We start from the raw sequence: 17,421 nt of genomic DNA on the forward strand, positions 1-17,421 counted from the left end.
AATCTCATAAAAGTTTCACAACAATCCTGTGAGGGAGACGATATCCCCATTTTACAAATCAGGAAATTAAGACTTAATAAGGTTAAAAGACTTGCCCAAAGTCACAGAACCAGTAAGTGGTAGAGCTTGAATTTGAATACAGACCTGACTCTAAAGCTCTTTTCTTTCTTTAGATTTTAGTGTTCATTGCTTACTTGAATGAGTATCTATAAGAAAACTTTAACATGTAAAACTTCTGTGAAATTATCTTGTCCCATATCAGGGTCATGTCAAACTAATGTCCTCCTCAGCATCTTTGGAAAACTTCAGAGGAGAAATGAGCTTTGCCCCTCCTGTTCATTTCATATACCACTGTTAGACCTGTCCTTCCCTTTCAGCATGCTTTGTCCATATTTAGAAGCTGTTGAAGCCATTACTTGTCTGGTCAGTTTTTAGTGCTGGAATGGACCTAGCCTTTTAGGCCTTCTGAGATTTAGTTTGATCTCGTCTTTCCCACCTAATGGCTCTGTTCTACTACATAGATTTGATCTGAAACAGTTCTCTGTTTCTAAAATAACTTTCTTTTCATGATAGTCACAGTAAAGTACATTTATTATGGAAAAATCAATAAGTATAACGAGTGAAAGTTATTTCTTGGTGGTAAGATTATGGGATTATTTGAACTTTCTGTTTCATTGTATTTTATTTATTTATTTATTTTTGTGATGGAGTCTCACTCTGCTGCCCAGGCTGGAGTGCAGTAGTACGATCTTGGCTCACTGCAACCTCCCCTTCCCAGTTCAAGTGATTCTCCTGCCTCAGACTCCCAAGTAGCTGGGATTACAGGCGCACGCCACCATGCCTGGCTAATTTTTTTATCTTTAGTAGAGACAGGGTTTCACCATGTTGACCAGGCTGATCTCCAACTCCTGATCTCAGGTATCCACCTGCCTCAGCCTCCCAAAGTACCGGGATTACGGGTGTGAGCCACCCTGCCTGGCCTCATTTTGTCTTTTGGGGGTATTTTTGTGTGCAGATATATATGTATATAAATATTTTTCCCTCTTTTCCCCAGTTAGTATTTGAGCAGATGAACTTTGGACCCGAATACCTGTATTCAAGTCTCTAATACCACTTCTTGGCTATTTTCATTTTATCAAATGGCCTCTTATCCTCGTTTTTCTCATTTATTAAGTAGAGATGTAACTACTTGATATAATTCAAAAACTCAATAATGGCATTCTTTTGTTTTTTAGACTCTAGTGTCTGTACTCGTTGTACCATGCTGGGATTCATTTGAACAATTGCATGGCTTTTTTAGTGTATTATTAAATTTGCAGTTTACTTAGAATTTACTGGGACCTCATACAAATGGGAAAAAAACATAACTGTGTTACTCATTTGCTGTGTGCCTTTGGATTGACCCTATTTTTTGTATTCATTTTCTCCCCATGTCCTGAGTTCCACTTTGAATAAAAAGTAATTTTTTTCCTGCCTGTAAAATAGGCTACCAATAGGCTGCAGTTGTCTATAGTAGCTGCTTCACTGAGGAGAGCTCAGCATGAGAGAAATAGTATGAATTGCTTGCCACAAGTTATGGGCTAGCCTTACTTCATTCTGTACTTGGACCTGTTTAGGCTTCTAAGAGATCTTACCTCCAACAATAAACTGCTTTGAGACATGAAAAGGTGGAAGCTTTACTTGGTTATAACTTTACTTTTAATACCTAGAACAGTGAGTCTTCAAACTTGTATTTGCATGCCCAATTTATAAAAAGTTTCCTGAGCATTTACCCCTAATATATGCATTTTAAATTATATATGATTTATGGTAATAATAATATATATGTTACAAAATACATACAAAAATATAGATTAAACAAGGTGAGGTAAAAAATTTAAAAGTTCTAATCTTTCTTGCAAACCAGTGGATCTTTTGTGCCTTACTCTGGTAAACACTGTCTTAGAAGAATATATAGAACATTAAAATCTTAATGCTATAGTTATATGACAGAGTATGATGAGAGCTACAGATAAACAACACATCATGAATCTTCTTGTGGCAGTGTTTATAACCATTATGTGAAATGCTGCCTCATTCTTATAACTAGCATAAGAACAGATAGGACTTTCTCGATTTTGAGGGGTAATTATTAGATGGTATTTTCTGTTAAGGACTCTTCCAGCTATAAAATTCTTAAATGTAGAAAGCGAAGTGAGGGTTTATGGTGAGAGGAAGCATTGGTATCATGTTTTAGTGTAGTCCAAGAATATGGACACATCCAGAAAATGCAGATCAAGTTTAGCCTAATGAGAAAATATATTTTGGAGTCCATATGGTAAATTAAATTATGTGATTTTTGAGTTATTGTACAAATATAATTCTTAGAATGTTAGAGTCAGGAGACTATAAGAGACCAACTGCTTCAAGTTTCATTTAACACATGGGAAACTAAGGCCAGAGAAATTTCAAGACTTGCCCAAGATTAGACCTCTTGTTAAGTAATGAAAGTGTTTTAAAAACAGGTGGGTCAAATTCTGTTTTTAAAATTTCCATTATGATGAAAATTTCAGTATTACAGGCTTCCAAATCCCAGCAGATGGGCCACTTGTTTAAAGGAGAGTTTGATATAATAAAGCATCTAAAAACAAGAGTTTGGATAATTCCTTAGGGTTGTTATGATGTGATTTGACTTATAATTGGAAATACCGTTTTATTCATTGTACTGATTTTCATTTCTCTTTTTCTTCTAGAATGTCTTGATTGTGGAAGTAAGTTCACATTTACTTTTAATATAACATTTATGACTTTTCTAACTTAGTATGCACCATCCTAAAGGTAAGCCAGGGAGAGAAATTCCTCTGCATCAGTTTTAATGGTGGGCTTGTGTTCTAAAGGAGTGAGATTGGTTTTTTGTAAAGACTACTTAGTAATTTGTTTTTACCAATAATGGAATGGTATACTTCCTACCTCTCTTTTTTTAGTTTGAAGTATTTTCTTTCTAAACATAACTCTCTCTCTCTATTTATCTATATATAATATATACATATATATCTTATATTTTATGTATATATATATATATCTTGCTTAGATTTTGTCTTATGTAATATTTGGTACATAAAAAATAATATTTATAATTTATAGACTATTTTCCATGTGTTATTATGTGCTAAAGTATTTTGTATCTTAGCACCGAGAGGCTAAGCAGTTTCCTAGGGTTACCAGCTAGTAAACTAAGGGAAACCTTTACTTCCTTTAGCTCAGTGGTTCTCAAAATGTGGTTCCCTAGACCAAAAGTATTAATATCAGACAAGAACCTACCGAATCAAAATATCTGTGATGAGGCCCAGCAAGCTATGCTTTAACAAGTTTCCGAGTGATTCTGATGCATGCTAAGGTTTAGGATCCCTTGTTTTTACTCATAAGTCACTTTCTCATTAAGGCCTTCCCTGGCCATCCTATATAAAATCTCATGTTTTCACACCGTCAACTTCGTATTCCTCCTCAATACTTTTATTTTCCTGATCACTTATCACTAACAGCCTCTCTCTCTCTCTCTCTCTCTCTCTATGTATATATATATATATATCACTTATCACTGTCTAACAGCCTCTCTTTATATATATATAATCTATAGATTATATATATATGCAGCATTGTGCAATCATTATCACGCTCAATTTTAAAACATTTTCATTGCCCCACAAAGAAACCCAATCCCCTTAGCCATCACTCCCCATTTCCCCTTCCCCCAGCACCTAGCAAACTGATCATCTACCTACTTGCTGTCTATAAGATTTGCCTATTCTGGACATTTTGTATAAATAGAATCATACAATATGTGGCCTTTTGTATCTGGCTTCTCTCACTTAATGTTTTCAAGGTTCATTCATGTTGTGGAGTATATCTGCACTCATTTCCTTTTTATTGCCAAATTGTATGGATAGACAGGTGTTCCTCAACTGTGTCCTGATAAACCCATCTGAAGTTGAAAATATCATAAGTTGAAAATGGATTTACTACTTTGATAAATCTATCCTAAAGTCAGAAAAATCTCATGTTGAACCATCGTAAGTTGGATACCATCTGAATTACATTTTTGTTATCCATTCACTGGTTGACAGACGTTAGGTTGTTTCCACTGTTTGCTCCTTATTTCTCGTACCTGAAATGTCCTTATTCCCTCCCTTCTTATCCCATGTTTAAGTCATTTAAGACCCAGCTCAAACGTCACCTCCACAAAACCTTCCTTGATACCCCTTTCCTCTTCAATTCACTTGGACCTTTTGCATTTAATTTTAATTTTTATTTTTTTTAAGACAGAGTCTCACTCTGTCACCAGGCTGGAGTGCAGTGGTATGATCTCAGCTCACTAACTACTCTGCCTCCCAGGTTCAAGCAATTCTCATGTCTCAGCCTCCCAAGTAGCTGGGACTACAGGTGTGCGCCACCATGCCTGGCTAATTGTGTGTGTGTGTGTGTGTATGTATGTATGTATATATGTGTGTGTGTGTATATATATATATACACACACATATATAAATATATATACATATATATATATACACACATATATAAATATATATACATATATATATATACACACACACACACATATATATATATATAGTTTTTTTTTTTTTTAAGTAGAGATGGGGTTTTGCCATGTTGGCCAGGCTGGTCTGGCCTCAAGCCATCCTCCCACCTCGGCCTCGCAAAGTGCTGGTATTATAGGCATGAGCCACTGTGCCTGGCCTGCATTTCATTTTAATTATAAAATATTTTGAACTCAGAAAAAAGGGTATGCTGAATACCTACGTACCCACAAAAGTATTAACATTTTGCCATATTTGCTTCTGATCTTATTTTTTTTGAGAAATTAAAGATCATAATACAACTAAAGCCCCATTTCTTTCCCTTCATTCCCAGAAGTATGACAATTATCCTTAAAGTTGATATATATCATTCCCATGCATGTTTTTTATACTTCCCTAGTACAAGTTAGCTGTATCCTCTGCTCAGGGGCTCATCAAGCTGAATCAAGGGACTCATGATCCTCTTCAAAGTTCCTTCAGGTTGTTGGCAGAATTTAGTTCCTTGTGATTGTAGGACTGAGGGCCCGTTTTCTCACTGGCTGCTGGCCAGGGGTTGCTCCCAGATATTTAAAGGCTCATGCCCTAGCCCATGACAGTCTCACAACATGGCAGCTGACTTCTTCAAAACCAGCAGGAGAATCTTGCTCTAGTCTACCACATAACCTAATCACAGGAGCGGCTATCCCGTTATTTTCACAGATCCTGGTCACATTCAAGGGGAGGGAACCCTTCTGTGTGTGTACACCAGGAGGCAGGAATTTTTTTTTTCTTTTTCTTTTTTGTTAAAAAGTCTTAAAGTCTTTTATCCCTAAAGGAGGCAGGAATTTTGAGAGCCATCAGAATTCTGCCTACCACAGCCCAGAAATCTGCATTTTTCACAAGTCTCCAGCCATGATGTTTCTGATGGCTCACACTGCTTTATTCCATTTTTAAAGAGTATTTTTATTGAAAAGCATTAGGGTTATGGTTTAAAAAATATTTTCCCTAACAAAGATGGGTTTGTTTAGAGTCCTACTTTTGACTAAATAGCTGAGATTCACTTTTATGTAAAGTCATTTTATAGCGTTATTAATTTGGGTGCCTTTAAAAATAGTATAAAGCATGTTTCTCGAGTGTAGTCTGTTAGCCACCTATATTGGAGAGTTGGGAGGAGAGAGTCTCTATCTTGAATTTATGGGAAAAATTCTAAAATACTTTTTATAATGAAGGACAACATCATAACTCCCTAATAAAATGTGCATGTATATATTCAAATTTGCTGTCATTGATCCTGCACCTACAAAATCCAGTCCTGGGGGCTGGCATTCTTACTGCTTGCTGAGGGCCAGATGATATAGATTCCAGAATATCTCCATGTAGATTTTGGTGAGAATTACTGTGCTGAAAAGAATGACAGTATTGCAGTTATACATGGGGGTTTTGGTACTTTATATTGTGACTCTGAATTTAAAGCTATGCAATGTCTTCTTTTTTGAAAGGATATAATTGACACTGGCAAAACAATGCAGACTTTGCTTTCCTTGGTCAGGCAGTATAATCCAAAGATGGTCAAGGTCGCAAGGTATGTATGACATTTTGACACAGAATATTTTCCTCATTTGAAGGGGGATTAAGTGATTGCTTCTTTTTAAGGATAAATGTTTTCAACTGTCATTTTATCTTCGAAAAGTAATGTAATCTCATATAAGACTTAAGATATAATCCTTTTAAATAATTTTGTCATGTGTTAATAAAGCTCATAATTACAGTCACTTCCTTGCCTAATATTAACATTTGGTTTTTCAGCATGCTAATTATATCAGTTTGTCCTGAATAGCATGGCAGAGGATTTTGGGCCCCCTTGCAAAATTAAGAATAAGGATTCCAAAGCGGGTGAGGAAGTGATAGGAAGGGGTGGGCCCTGAAGATCTGGACCTCCTGGAATTGAGTGATGAATGCTGCATCTTCTTTGTGTCTGTAGTGAAATTTTATAATGCCTGCTTCCTTTTTTATTAAGTCGGCCTCACCTCCTCACCTTACCTATGCTGTTTTACTTTTGCTTTTATAGTTCTACCTGTGTTTATTTCTCATTTTCGTTTCATCTCTCAACAACTCTGGGGTGGCATTATTATTCCCACTTTTCAGATAAGGTTACTGAGGCATAGGGAATTGTCCAAAGGTACAGAGCTAGTCCGCTATAGAGATGAGATTTGAACCCAGGGAACCTGGCTCACAGTTTATGCTTTTGCTACCTTAAGTTTTTAATAGAGTGACATCAAACAAACATTTAAGAATATGTTTTTCTTTTCCTTTTATAATTTCATTAAAAACATTAAGTCTCTGATCAGTCTGCAGTTTTTATGTAGGGGTCAGGTAATGTTCTAACTTCTGCTTTTTCCTAAGTGATTAACAGGTTTTTATAAGCCCTTTTGAAAAAATCACGGTATCTGTCGAGCATCTTTGAATCAGAGTAAGCCTTCTAGTGAGTCATATGTCAGCAGTTTGACTGTATGGGCTTTTCTAATATCCAGTTCAAGTGTTTATCAGTGAGTTTTTCTTTTAAATAGATTTGGGACAGGTACTATGAGAGTATATAAGTGATACGTTATAGGACACTAACTAGTATCCTATGAAATGGCAAAAACTGCAATCACTTTTGCACCAACCAAATAGAAACTAATCAGTGCACTTGCTTATTTTTCTACATGCTCTTTAGGGTTTTAAATGTCAACCTACTGTGGCATAGACTTTAATCCTCTGGGTATTCTTTTGTTGTTCTTTCCTGGTATATGCTGTGGAATTGAGATAGACTGGTTCGTGAGCGAGAGATTTTGTGTTGCCACAGGTAGGACATGCTCAAACAATACTTGGGTCATTTCTTGACCCAAGTCATCTATTCACCATAGTTTTGTAGCACCGATCTTGCATACATTTCATGTATCTTCTTTGAACCCCACGTCAGTGCTGCTTATATGATACTCAGAAATTAAACACTAAGGAATAAGATTTTCAGGTAGGATTGAGTTTTGGAGGGTCACAAATCTTGTAATGTCTAATATTTCCACTCTCCCTGCTGAGAATTAGTTTTGGCTTCCTTGGAGGTGATATCGCCTCTGTTGAGTATAAGTGGCCTACTGTGATCACACCACTGCACTCCAGCCTGGGTGACAGAGTGAGACCCTGTCTCAGAAAAAAAAAAAAAAAAAAAGAATGCATGGCCTAGATGACTTCTAAGGTTTTTCCCACCCAGTTCCAGTTTTCATGTTCTAGGCAGAGCAGTAAAGTGAGAAACACATGGACTTGGGAGTTTAGTCTCGCATTTCACTGCCACTTAATCTGAGCGACTATTCCATATTTAATCTCTCTGAATGTATTTACTCATCTTTAAAGGGGAATGATTATTAACATCTTTTTCTCAGGGAAACTATATGAGTCAAGGAGATAATATATTTGAAAATCTTTTTAACTGCAAAGCGCTGTTTCACTGTTGGTTATAATGTGATTGATCTCATTGTAGTGAGCAGCTGCTTAATTGCGTTTTAGAATGTAGGGAAGATAGTAATATTTTTCACATTATATATGTAGCTGGTTCTGGAACTGTAAACATACTCCTTTTTTATGGAGATCTGAGTCACGTACCATAAAATTCACTCTTTTAAAGTTGTACAATCCAGTGGTTTTTGATATATTCAGAGTTGTGCATCTGCTACCACTATTTCATTTTGGAACCCAAAGAAACCTTGTACCCATTAGCAGTCATTCTCCCTTCTCCCAGCCCCTGGCAACTACTAATCTACTTTCTACAGAAAGTCCGTACAGATTTGTGTATTATGGACATTCCATATAAATGGACTCATGCAATATCCTGTCTTCTTTCACTTAGCATAGTGTTTTCAAGGTTCATCTAGGTTGGGGCATGTATCAGTACTTCATCCCTTGTTTTGGCTGAATAATATTTCATTGTACAAATATATCACATTTTGCTTATCCATCTGTTGGTGAACATTTGAGTTTCTACCTGTTGGCTTTTATGAATAATGTTGATTTGAATGTTTGTGTACAAGTATGAATACCTGTTTTCAGGTCTCTTGAGTATATAGTTGCTAGGTCATATAGTAACTCTGTGTTTAACATTTTGAGGAATTGCCCGACTATTTAACAAGGTATATGTACTGTTTTACACCAGTAACATATGAGGGTTCCAATATCTCCACATCCTTGACAACACTTGTTACTGTCCTTTTTATTGTAGCCATCCTAGTGGCTATGATGTGGTATCTCATTGTGGTTTTGATTTGTGTTTCTCTGATGCTGATGATGTTGAACATGTTTTCATCTGCTTATTGGCCATTTACATATATCTTCTTAAGAACGGTTACCCATTTACAGTATGGAAAATGCTTCAGATGCAACTCTAGTCATGCCTTAGAGATGGAGCTTTATTAAACATTCAGATCTCTAGGCATATGAAGTGCTGAGTTCTCTTGAACTCCTAATACAGATTGCACTGAGTTTAGTGATACCTTTTCTGGAGCATTCCTGAGTTCAGGTAGGGAGAAGGGTTTTTGCTGTGATTGGCTTGTTATGTTCTTTCTAAATGGAAATAGAATTGAAGTGTCTCCTCTCTCCATTTATTGGAAGAGTCATGAGGGACATAATTAGATGATCCCTTGGAGTCTCCGGCTTAGGTCAGTGGTTATCTACTTAGGCTGCACATTGGAATCACCTGAGAGTTAAAAAACCAGGATAACCTCTGCCTGTGTCTCATCTCCAGCAATTCTGATGTAATTGGTCAGGGCTGTGGCCCGAGTAGGTGAGTTCTGGTTTTTTAAAGCTCCCAGGTGATTCTGATGTGCAATCCAGGTTGAGATCACTTTGGGCCCTTTCCAGCTCTTTAAACATATATATTTATCTAGGAAGGTATGAAAGCATAAGTTTTCTTGAGACTGCCTTTAACATCTGTAAAGGCTTTCAAAGCAGCTTCTGTAGTTTTTTTTAAATGGCTGAATATTTTTCAACAGGCAGCATTTGGGTTATAAAATTAGCTTTTGGTAGAGTTGACTTATACCACCTCCAGCTTTTGTTCCAAAAATAAATACTGGTTCTTTTGGCACACTAGTTGTTTTACCCTAAAGTTCCTCTTTGTAAGCCAGTTATTAAAAGTTGTGATGCAGCCAGGGCGAAGTGGTACACATCTGTAGTCCCAGCTACTCGGAAGGCTGAGGGGGGAGGATCGCTAGAGCCCAAGAAGTCAAGGCTGCAGTGAACTGTGATTACACCACTGCACTGCAGCCTGGGCCACAGAGCGAGACTCATCTCTTTAAAAAAAAGAATGTTGTGAGGCCGGGCGCAGTGGCTCACGCCTGTGATCCCAGCACTTTGGGAGGCCGAGGTGGACGGATCACCTGAGGTTGGGAGTTCGAGACCAGCCTGACCAACATGGAGAAACCCTGTCTCTACTAAAAAAAATACAAAATTAGCCGGGCGTGGTGGCACATGCCTGTAGTCCCAGCTACTCGGCAGGCTGAGGCAGGAGAATCGCTTGAACCTGGGAGGCAGAGGTTGTGGTGAGTTGGGCGAGCCATTGCACTCCAGCCTGGGCAACAAGAGCAAAACTCCATCTCAAAAAAAAGAAAAGAAAAGAAAAGAATGTTGTGGCCAGGCGCGGTGGCTTACGCCTGTAATTTCAGCACTTTGGGAGACCGAGGTGGGCGGATCACGAGGTCAGGAGATCAAGACCATCCTGGCTAACACAGTAAAACCCCATCTCTACTAAATACAAAAAAAAATTAGCCGGGAGTGCTGGCGGGTGCCTGTAGTCCCAGCTACTCAGGAGGCTGAGGCGGGAGAATGGCGTGAACCCAGGAGGCAGAGCTTGCAGTGAGCGGAGATCGCGCCACTGCACTCCAGCCTGGGCAACAGAGCGAGATTCCGTCTAAAAAAAAAAAAAAAGAATGTTGTGATAAAAGGTGATGCTCACCTCTCCCACACCCTTTTATAGTTTAGGGATTGTATTTCCAAGGTTTCTAGACTGAGAGCCCTTTTCATCTTTGCTCATTGACACTCTGTACCCATTAATCCTCCTTATTAGCTCCCCTTCAATGGACACATGGGTAGTCAGGGTGCAGGTCTCAGAACTGTCCTTCAGGTTCCAGGTGATCAACCAAGTGCCTTGTCTGTAGTGTCAACTCATTGCTGCCCCTTCCTAGTAATCCCCATAATTTAGCTCTCCATTTCATAGTCTTTCCTTGGGTGTGTTAAAAGTGACCATGGTACACTCAGCACGGATGAAATGAAACAGTGTTTAGAAACGTCAGTCTTCTCTTTTGTAATGCCCTGTAGTCTCTCTGTATGTTATATGTCACATTTTGTAATTAACAGCTTGCTGGTGAAAAGGACCCCACGAAGTGTTGGATATAAGCCAGACTGTAAGTGAATTACTTTTTTTGTCAATCATTTAACCATCTTTAACCTAAAAGAGTTTTATGTGAAATGGCTTATAATTGCTTAGAGAATATTTGTAGAGAGGCACATTTGCCAGTATTAGATTTAAAAGTGATGTTTTCTTTATCTAAATGATGAATTATGATTCTTTTTAGTTGTTGGATTTGAAATTCCAGACAAGTTTGTTGTAGGATATGCCCTTGACTATAATGAATACTTCAGGGATTTGAATGTAAGTAATTGCTTCTTTTTCTCACTCATTTTTCAAAACACGCATAAAAATTTAGGAAAGAGAATTGTTTTCTCCTTCCAGCACCTCATAATTTGAACAGACTGATGGTTCCCATTAGTCACATAAAGCTGTAGTCTAGTACAGACGTCCTTAGAACTGGAACCTGGCCAGGCTAGGGTGACACTTCTTGTTGGCTGAAATAGTTGAACAGCTTTAATATACAATAATTGTTGCATTATTATTTCAGATGATAAATGTGGTCATAAGTAAGAAATAAATGATCGAGTTTAGTCTTTTAATTCACTGTCCTTTGAATACCTGCCTCTTACTCTGGAGGCAGAAGTCCCATGGATGTGTTTATGAACATGGTTGAGGAAGATTTAGGAAGACTGCAACAGTACACTACCTAAAGCAGGTTTTTTACTCCATCTTTTTTTGCCACGTACACTGGCCTCCCACTTTGATATGCTTGAAATTATCTCCTTGATTTGTCTTTCAAAACTACATATTGAGGCTGGTTGCGGTGGCTCACACCTGTAATCCTAGCACTTTGGGAGGCCAAGCCGGACAGATCACTTGAGGTCAGGAGTTCGAGACCAGCCTGGCAAACATGATGAAACCCCACCTTTACTAAAAATACAAAAATTAGCCAGGCGTAGTGGTGTGTGCCTGTAACCCAGCTACCTGGGAGGCTGAGGCAGGAGAATCACTGGAACCCGGGAGGCAGAGGCTACAGTGAGCCAACATCACGCCACTGCACTCCAGCCTGGGTGACAGAGCAAGACTCTGTCTCAAAACAAAACAAAAAACAAAAAACTACGTATTAAGACAAGAAACAGACTGGGCGCGGTGGCTCACGCCTGTAATCCCAGCACTTTGGGAGGCTGAGGCGGGCGGATCACAAGGTCAGGAGATCGAGACCATCCTGGCTAACACGGTGAAACCCCGTCTCTACTAAAAAATAGAAAAAATTAGCTGGGGTGGTGGCGGGCGCCTATAGTCTCAGCTACTCGGGAGGCTGAGGCAGGAGAATGGCGTGAACCCGGGAGGCAGAGCTTGCAGTGAGCAGAGATCGTGCCACTGCACTCCAGTCTGGGTGACAGAGCAAGACTCCGTCTCAAAAAAAAAAACAAAAACAAGAAACAAATTAAACTAATGTGATAGACTACTGCTTTGTTTTCAAAAGATACACTCCCCAAAAGTTACTGATCTAAAATACAGTAGTACTATCTCTGTTTAGTAAGAACCCTGACAACTAATAGTGTTCTTATATGTAAAATGCTATTCTTGCCTTTCATTTCAGAATATACTTTTTAAATGTGAATTTCTGGATTTTTTTTTATAGCATGTTTGTGTCATTAGTGAAACTGGAAAAGCAAAATACAAAGCCTAAGATGAGAGTTCAAGTTGAGTTTGGAAACATCTGGAGTCCTATTGACATCGCCAGTAAAATTATCAATGTTCTAGTTCTGTGGCCATCTGCTTAGTAGAGCTTTTTGCATGTATCTTCTAAGAATTTTATCTGTTTTGTACTTTAGAAATGTCAGTTGCTGCATTCCTAAACTGTTTATTTGCACTATGAGCCTATAGACTATCAGTTCCCTTTGGGCGGATTGTTGTTTAACTTGTAAATGAAAAAATTCTCTTAAACCACAGCACTATTGAGTGAAACATTGAACTCATATCTGTAAGAAATAAAGAGAAGATATATTAGTTTTTTAATTGGTATTTTAATTTTTATATATGCAGGAAAGAATAGAAGTGATTGAATATTGTTAATTATACCACCGTGTGTTAGAAAAGTAAGAAGCAGTCAATTTTCACATCAAAGACAGCATCTAAGAAGTTTTGTTCTGTCCTGGAATTATTTTAGTAGTGTTTCAGTAATGTTGACTGTATTTTCCAACTTGTTCAAATTATTACCAGTGAATCTTTGTCAGCAGTTCCCTTTTAAATGCAAATCAATAAATTCCCAAAAATTTAACTGCTTTATGAATTCAATTTAAAAATCCTTAAAATAAGTCCTGTCTCTTTAAAAAAACCTATGCATAGTTATCATTTCTCTACAAATTAACCTAGTTTAGTTTTCTGTTGGTTCCATTTTCCTTGTTTGTTAAGTTTTAGTAGCTAGTTTAATTGTAATCTCAATGATTATGTGGTAGAATGGGTTGGCGGAGCTACAAAAATTCCTAGCTACTTCAGAGACATTAAATTTCAGACACATGGTACACTTTATATTACATTTTACTATGCTAAAATAACACGGCTTTCTTTTGGAATTCTGTTCAGTTTTTCAGATTGTAATCTCAGCTACATCTCAACAGATTGTTCTCAGATATGTCCTATTACCTTCTTTGTGTAGATAGTGCTTTATTGACTAAGAACAATGACAACAACACCTTTTGTTTTCTGGGAATAGGAGAAAAGTTTTAAGCCAAAACTCTTAATTGCTTATCTGCTCCACGTGAGGTATGAACTATCAAACTTAGGAGCCATCTAGCTTACACGTGTTCCTTAAAAAGTTTGCTGTAGGCCGGGCACAGTGGCTCGTACCTGTAGTCCCAGCACTTTTGGGAGCCCAGGGTGGGGGATCACTTGAGCTCAGGAGTTCAAGACCAGCCTGGGCAACATGGCAAAACGCCATCTCTACAAAAATACAAAAAAAAAAAAAAACGCTGGGTGTGGTGGCGCACAACTGTAGTCCCAGCTACTTGGGAGGCTGAGGTGGGAGGATTGCTTGAGCTTGGGAGGTGAAGGCTGCAGTGAGCCTTGACAGTGCCACTACACTCCAGCCTGGATGACAGAGTGAGACCCTGTCTCAAAAAAAAGAGTTTGCTGTAATTCCCAGCAACAAAGTAGGAGACTCAAACTAAATAATTTTCTATAGTCCTAGAACTTCTTAGTTTACAAAACATTTTTACTTCTGTTATCTCATTTGATCTTCATACCCATGTAAGGTTGAGGTAGATGTTACCACATGTGAGTGCAATATCCAGAACTCCTGAATCCCCTTCTTCCCCTAAAATGTCAGCCCGCTGAGGTCCACTTGGCTACCCTCTTGAATACTGCATCCAGCTTCCCACTGCTGAACCTCTTTACTCTTTTTTTTTCAGTTGCACTTACCACCTTCTAGTAAGTTGAACCATATGAAATTACCATTTTTGCAGGTAAAAAATGGCCGGTGATAGGCAGTTTGGCGTCGTATAACCCAATAACATGTTATATAATTTACCCACAAGTGGTGGGTTGCTATGTCCTGGAGGAGTCAGCTTCAGACTCTAGCTAAATGATTGTATAACCTTGCAGCTCTCCCCTAAGTGAGGAGGCAATGTTGAAAGTCCCATGTCTTATCAGAACCAGGGAGGCAGATGAGAAACTGCCTTATGGCAGCTCCCACAACATAGGGAGGTGGGTGACAAATGGCCTTGGGACAGCTTCTTCCCAAGACTGGTTATGTTACAGTGTTCCTGGGAGGATCACATGGCATTCCTCCAAGATGGGTCAGACTGCTGTTGGCCTTGTCTGTGTGGCGTATGTGAAGACATTCATGGCAGAGCTGTTCCCTTAGAAGCATCTACTAAATTGATCTTTTCCTTTCTTACTTACTGTCTGTCTCCCTTAGTAGGCTGTCAGCTCCGTGAGTGCAGGACCTTGCCAGTCCTGGTCACTGCTATATCCCCAGCACCTACAAGAGTGCCTGGAAAATTGTAGTGCTCAATAAATATTTGTTGGATAAATGATAGAATGATAGGAAGTTAAAAAGCAATTAAAATACTTGAAAAGAAGCAAAACATTTTTCATGTTAAGCAAAAAAAAAAAAAAAACTTATTAAGGATAGCTAACATGTATTGAATTCTATATGCAATGGAATGATACTTAGCGCCTTTGAATCCTTATGATAACCCTATAAGGTAGGTTGTTTGGGTTTTTTTAATTGTCCCAACTTTACAGATGAAGAAGTGCAGGTCCAGAGAGGTCACATAATTTGCCCAGGATCACACAGCTAGTAAGTAGCAGATGAGGAATTTGAACCCAGGCAGTTGTATTCCACCATCTGCCCTCTTAGTTCATTGCCACTTAACCTATAATGCCCAGCTCTTGTGTAGAAATTAATACACTGATAACATAGAGGAAAACATTAAGCTCATTGAATGTAATAAGTCCAGATGACTTGTACATTAAACACAGCTTTTTGAGGTCACAGCTGATCTCTAAGAATGTAAACTGATTTCCTCTGGCACTAAAAAGCATTTTCAAAGACTGTTAAGAGAGTTTCTCCAACATTCTCTTCAGATTTTTCTGCTGGCTTATTTTATGATTCTGTGGACAGCTTCAGACAAAATAACTTTCTGGTATGAAGGATTGTGTTTACTCTGCTTTTTTTTTTGTTGTTTTTTGGGTTTTTTGTTTTGTTTTGTTTTGTTTTTGAGACAGTGCCTTGCTCTGCTGCTGCCCAGGCTGAGTGCAATGGCATGATCTCGGCTCACTGCAACCTCTGCCTCCCTGGGCTCAGGCCAGGTGTATGCTACCACTCTCAGCTAATTTTTAATTTATTTTTTTAGAGATACGGTCCCACTCTGTTTCCCAGGCTGGTCTCAGAACTCCTGGGCTCAGACAGTCCCCCGCCATGGCCTCCCACAGTGCTGGGATTACAGGCATCAGCCACCATGCTCAGCTTGTTCTGCCATTTTCAAATGTGAATTTTATAGACACTTTAAACCACTTGAAAGAGTGATGATGTTTTAATGATTTTCATTATTATTTGCAACTTCAAGCATTAAACACTGCCAAATTAAGTTTCAAGTTTTCTCTTTACACAATATGGATGTACTTCATAATGGACTTCCTCATCATGATTAATGAGTGAAGTGACATTCAAACTTGGTAGCTTTTCAGTAGAACTTCCTTTCCCAACATTTTTTCTGTTCCTTTAATTATGGCAATATCTGAGAGCTCTGAACATAAGTCAAAGGTTTGATTATTTTTCATGTGGCTTCCTCTGCTTGGAACTTTCTGCCCCGCATCTTCCCGTTGCCCCCTGTGTCCTCTTGTCATGCCCCTACCCTTTTTTGAGTGTGTCTATTTTCTGGCACTACAAGACATAACAGGCTCATCTTGTGTTTTCCCTACCCTGACCCAGAATCAGCCATTACTTCAAGGAGCCCTGGTTCCATTATTGGAGAATACTATTAGAAACCAGGATCTGGTGCTAGGCATGCTCATTTCTATTGGAGTGTCATACAAACAATTTGTAAATTGTTTGTAGGTCCTCCCAGTGGATAGGATTAGGAAATAAAACATGCATACTAACCATGCATACACACACATCTACGTCTATTTCTGTATCTGTCTGTATACATATTAAAATAAACATGGGTTGATAACTAATGTTTCTGCTGTAATCCACAGCCTTCATCCTAGCCTGCCACTCTTCTTCTTTTTAGCTTTTTCAACAGTGGGAAATGTGGCTCTTGTTATGTACACTTTATTCACTTATTTGTTTGACCCTAGTATCATAAAGTAGTTCCGTATGCCTGTAACAGATCGACTAACTAGAGTCCATTATTTGCGGAAAGATCTTTTTGTCCGAAGCGTTACCGCAGGGGTGTCCAATCTTTTGGCTTCCCTGGGCCACACTAGAAAAAGAAGAATTGTCTTGGGCCACACGTAAAATACACTAACACTAACGATAGCTGATAAGCTAAAAAAAAAAAATCAAAAAAATTTCATGATGTTTTAAGAAAGTTTACTAATTTGTGTTGGGCCACGTTTAAAGCCATCCCGGGTCGCAGGTTGGACAAGCTTGCCTTACAGTATCCAGTCAAAATAATGTTTTCCAAAATTACTTCTTTTCTTTTTCATCCCTTTCAGTGTGGCCGTTATTTATAATGCAGTTTGGTTCATTAGTGTTTTTATTACAAATACACCCTCAGCCTTCATATCCTAGTTTTAATGAATTATTACGGTGAAACATAATAAGAGTCAGAGCTATACAGAAAGGTCTACTCAGAGGTGCTTTGTTCCCTCCTATTCTGTTCCCACTACTCCTACTTTCCACTGACCCTGTAAGCATCATATTTATTTTTAATGGCAGTTACATTTTTACCAAGTGCTTACTATCTGTAGGCACTTGGTGTGTATTGCTTCTTTTGGTGTTCACAGCAACCTCTTGAGGTAAGCACTATTATTATC

At 38.4% G+C, this 17,421-nt stretch overlaps 1 protein-coding gene across 1 annotated transcript in view; it reads left to right on the forward strand.

The window, feature by feature from the left end:
• HPRT1 (hypoxanthine phosphoribosyltransferase 1) overlaps window positions 1-13,213 on the forward strand; it is a 40,504-nt gene extending 27,291 nt beyond the window's left edge. Inside the window, exons 5-9 of the mRNA NM_000194.3 lie at window positions 2,733-2,750; window positions 6,053-6,135; window positions 10,935-10,981; window positions 11,153-11,229; window positions 12,575-13,213. Coding sequence (NP_000185.1) covers window positions 2,733-2,750; window positions 6,053-6,135; window positions 10,935-10,981; window positions 11,153-11,229; window positions 12,575-12,622 — 273 coding nt within the window. The 3' untranslated portion in view covers window positions 12,623-13,213. The remainder of the gene's footprint in view (window positions 1-2,732; window positions 2,751-6,052; window positions 6,136-10,934; window positions 10,982-11,152; window positions 11,230-12,574) is intronic.

This window comes from Homo sapiens, chromosome X (assembly GCF_000001405.40).
Source record: "Homo sapiens chromosome X, GRCh38.p14 Primary Assembly".
Taxonomy (NCBI): Eukaryota; Metazoa; Chordata; class Mammalia; order Primates; family Hominidae; genus Homo; species Homo sapiens.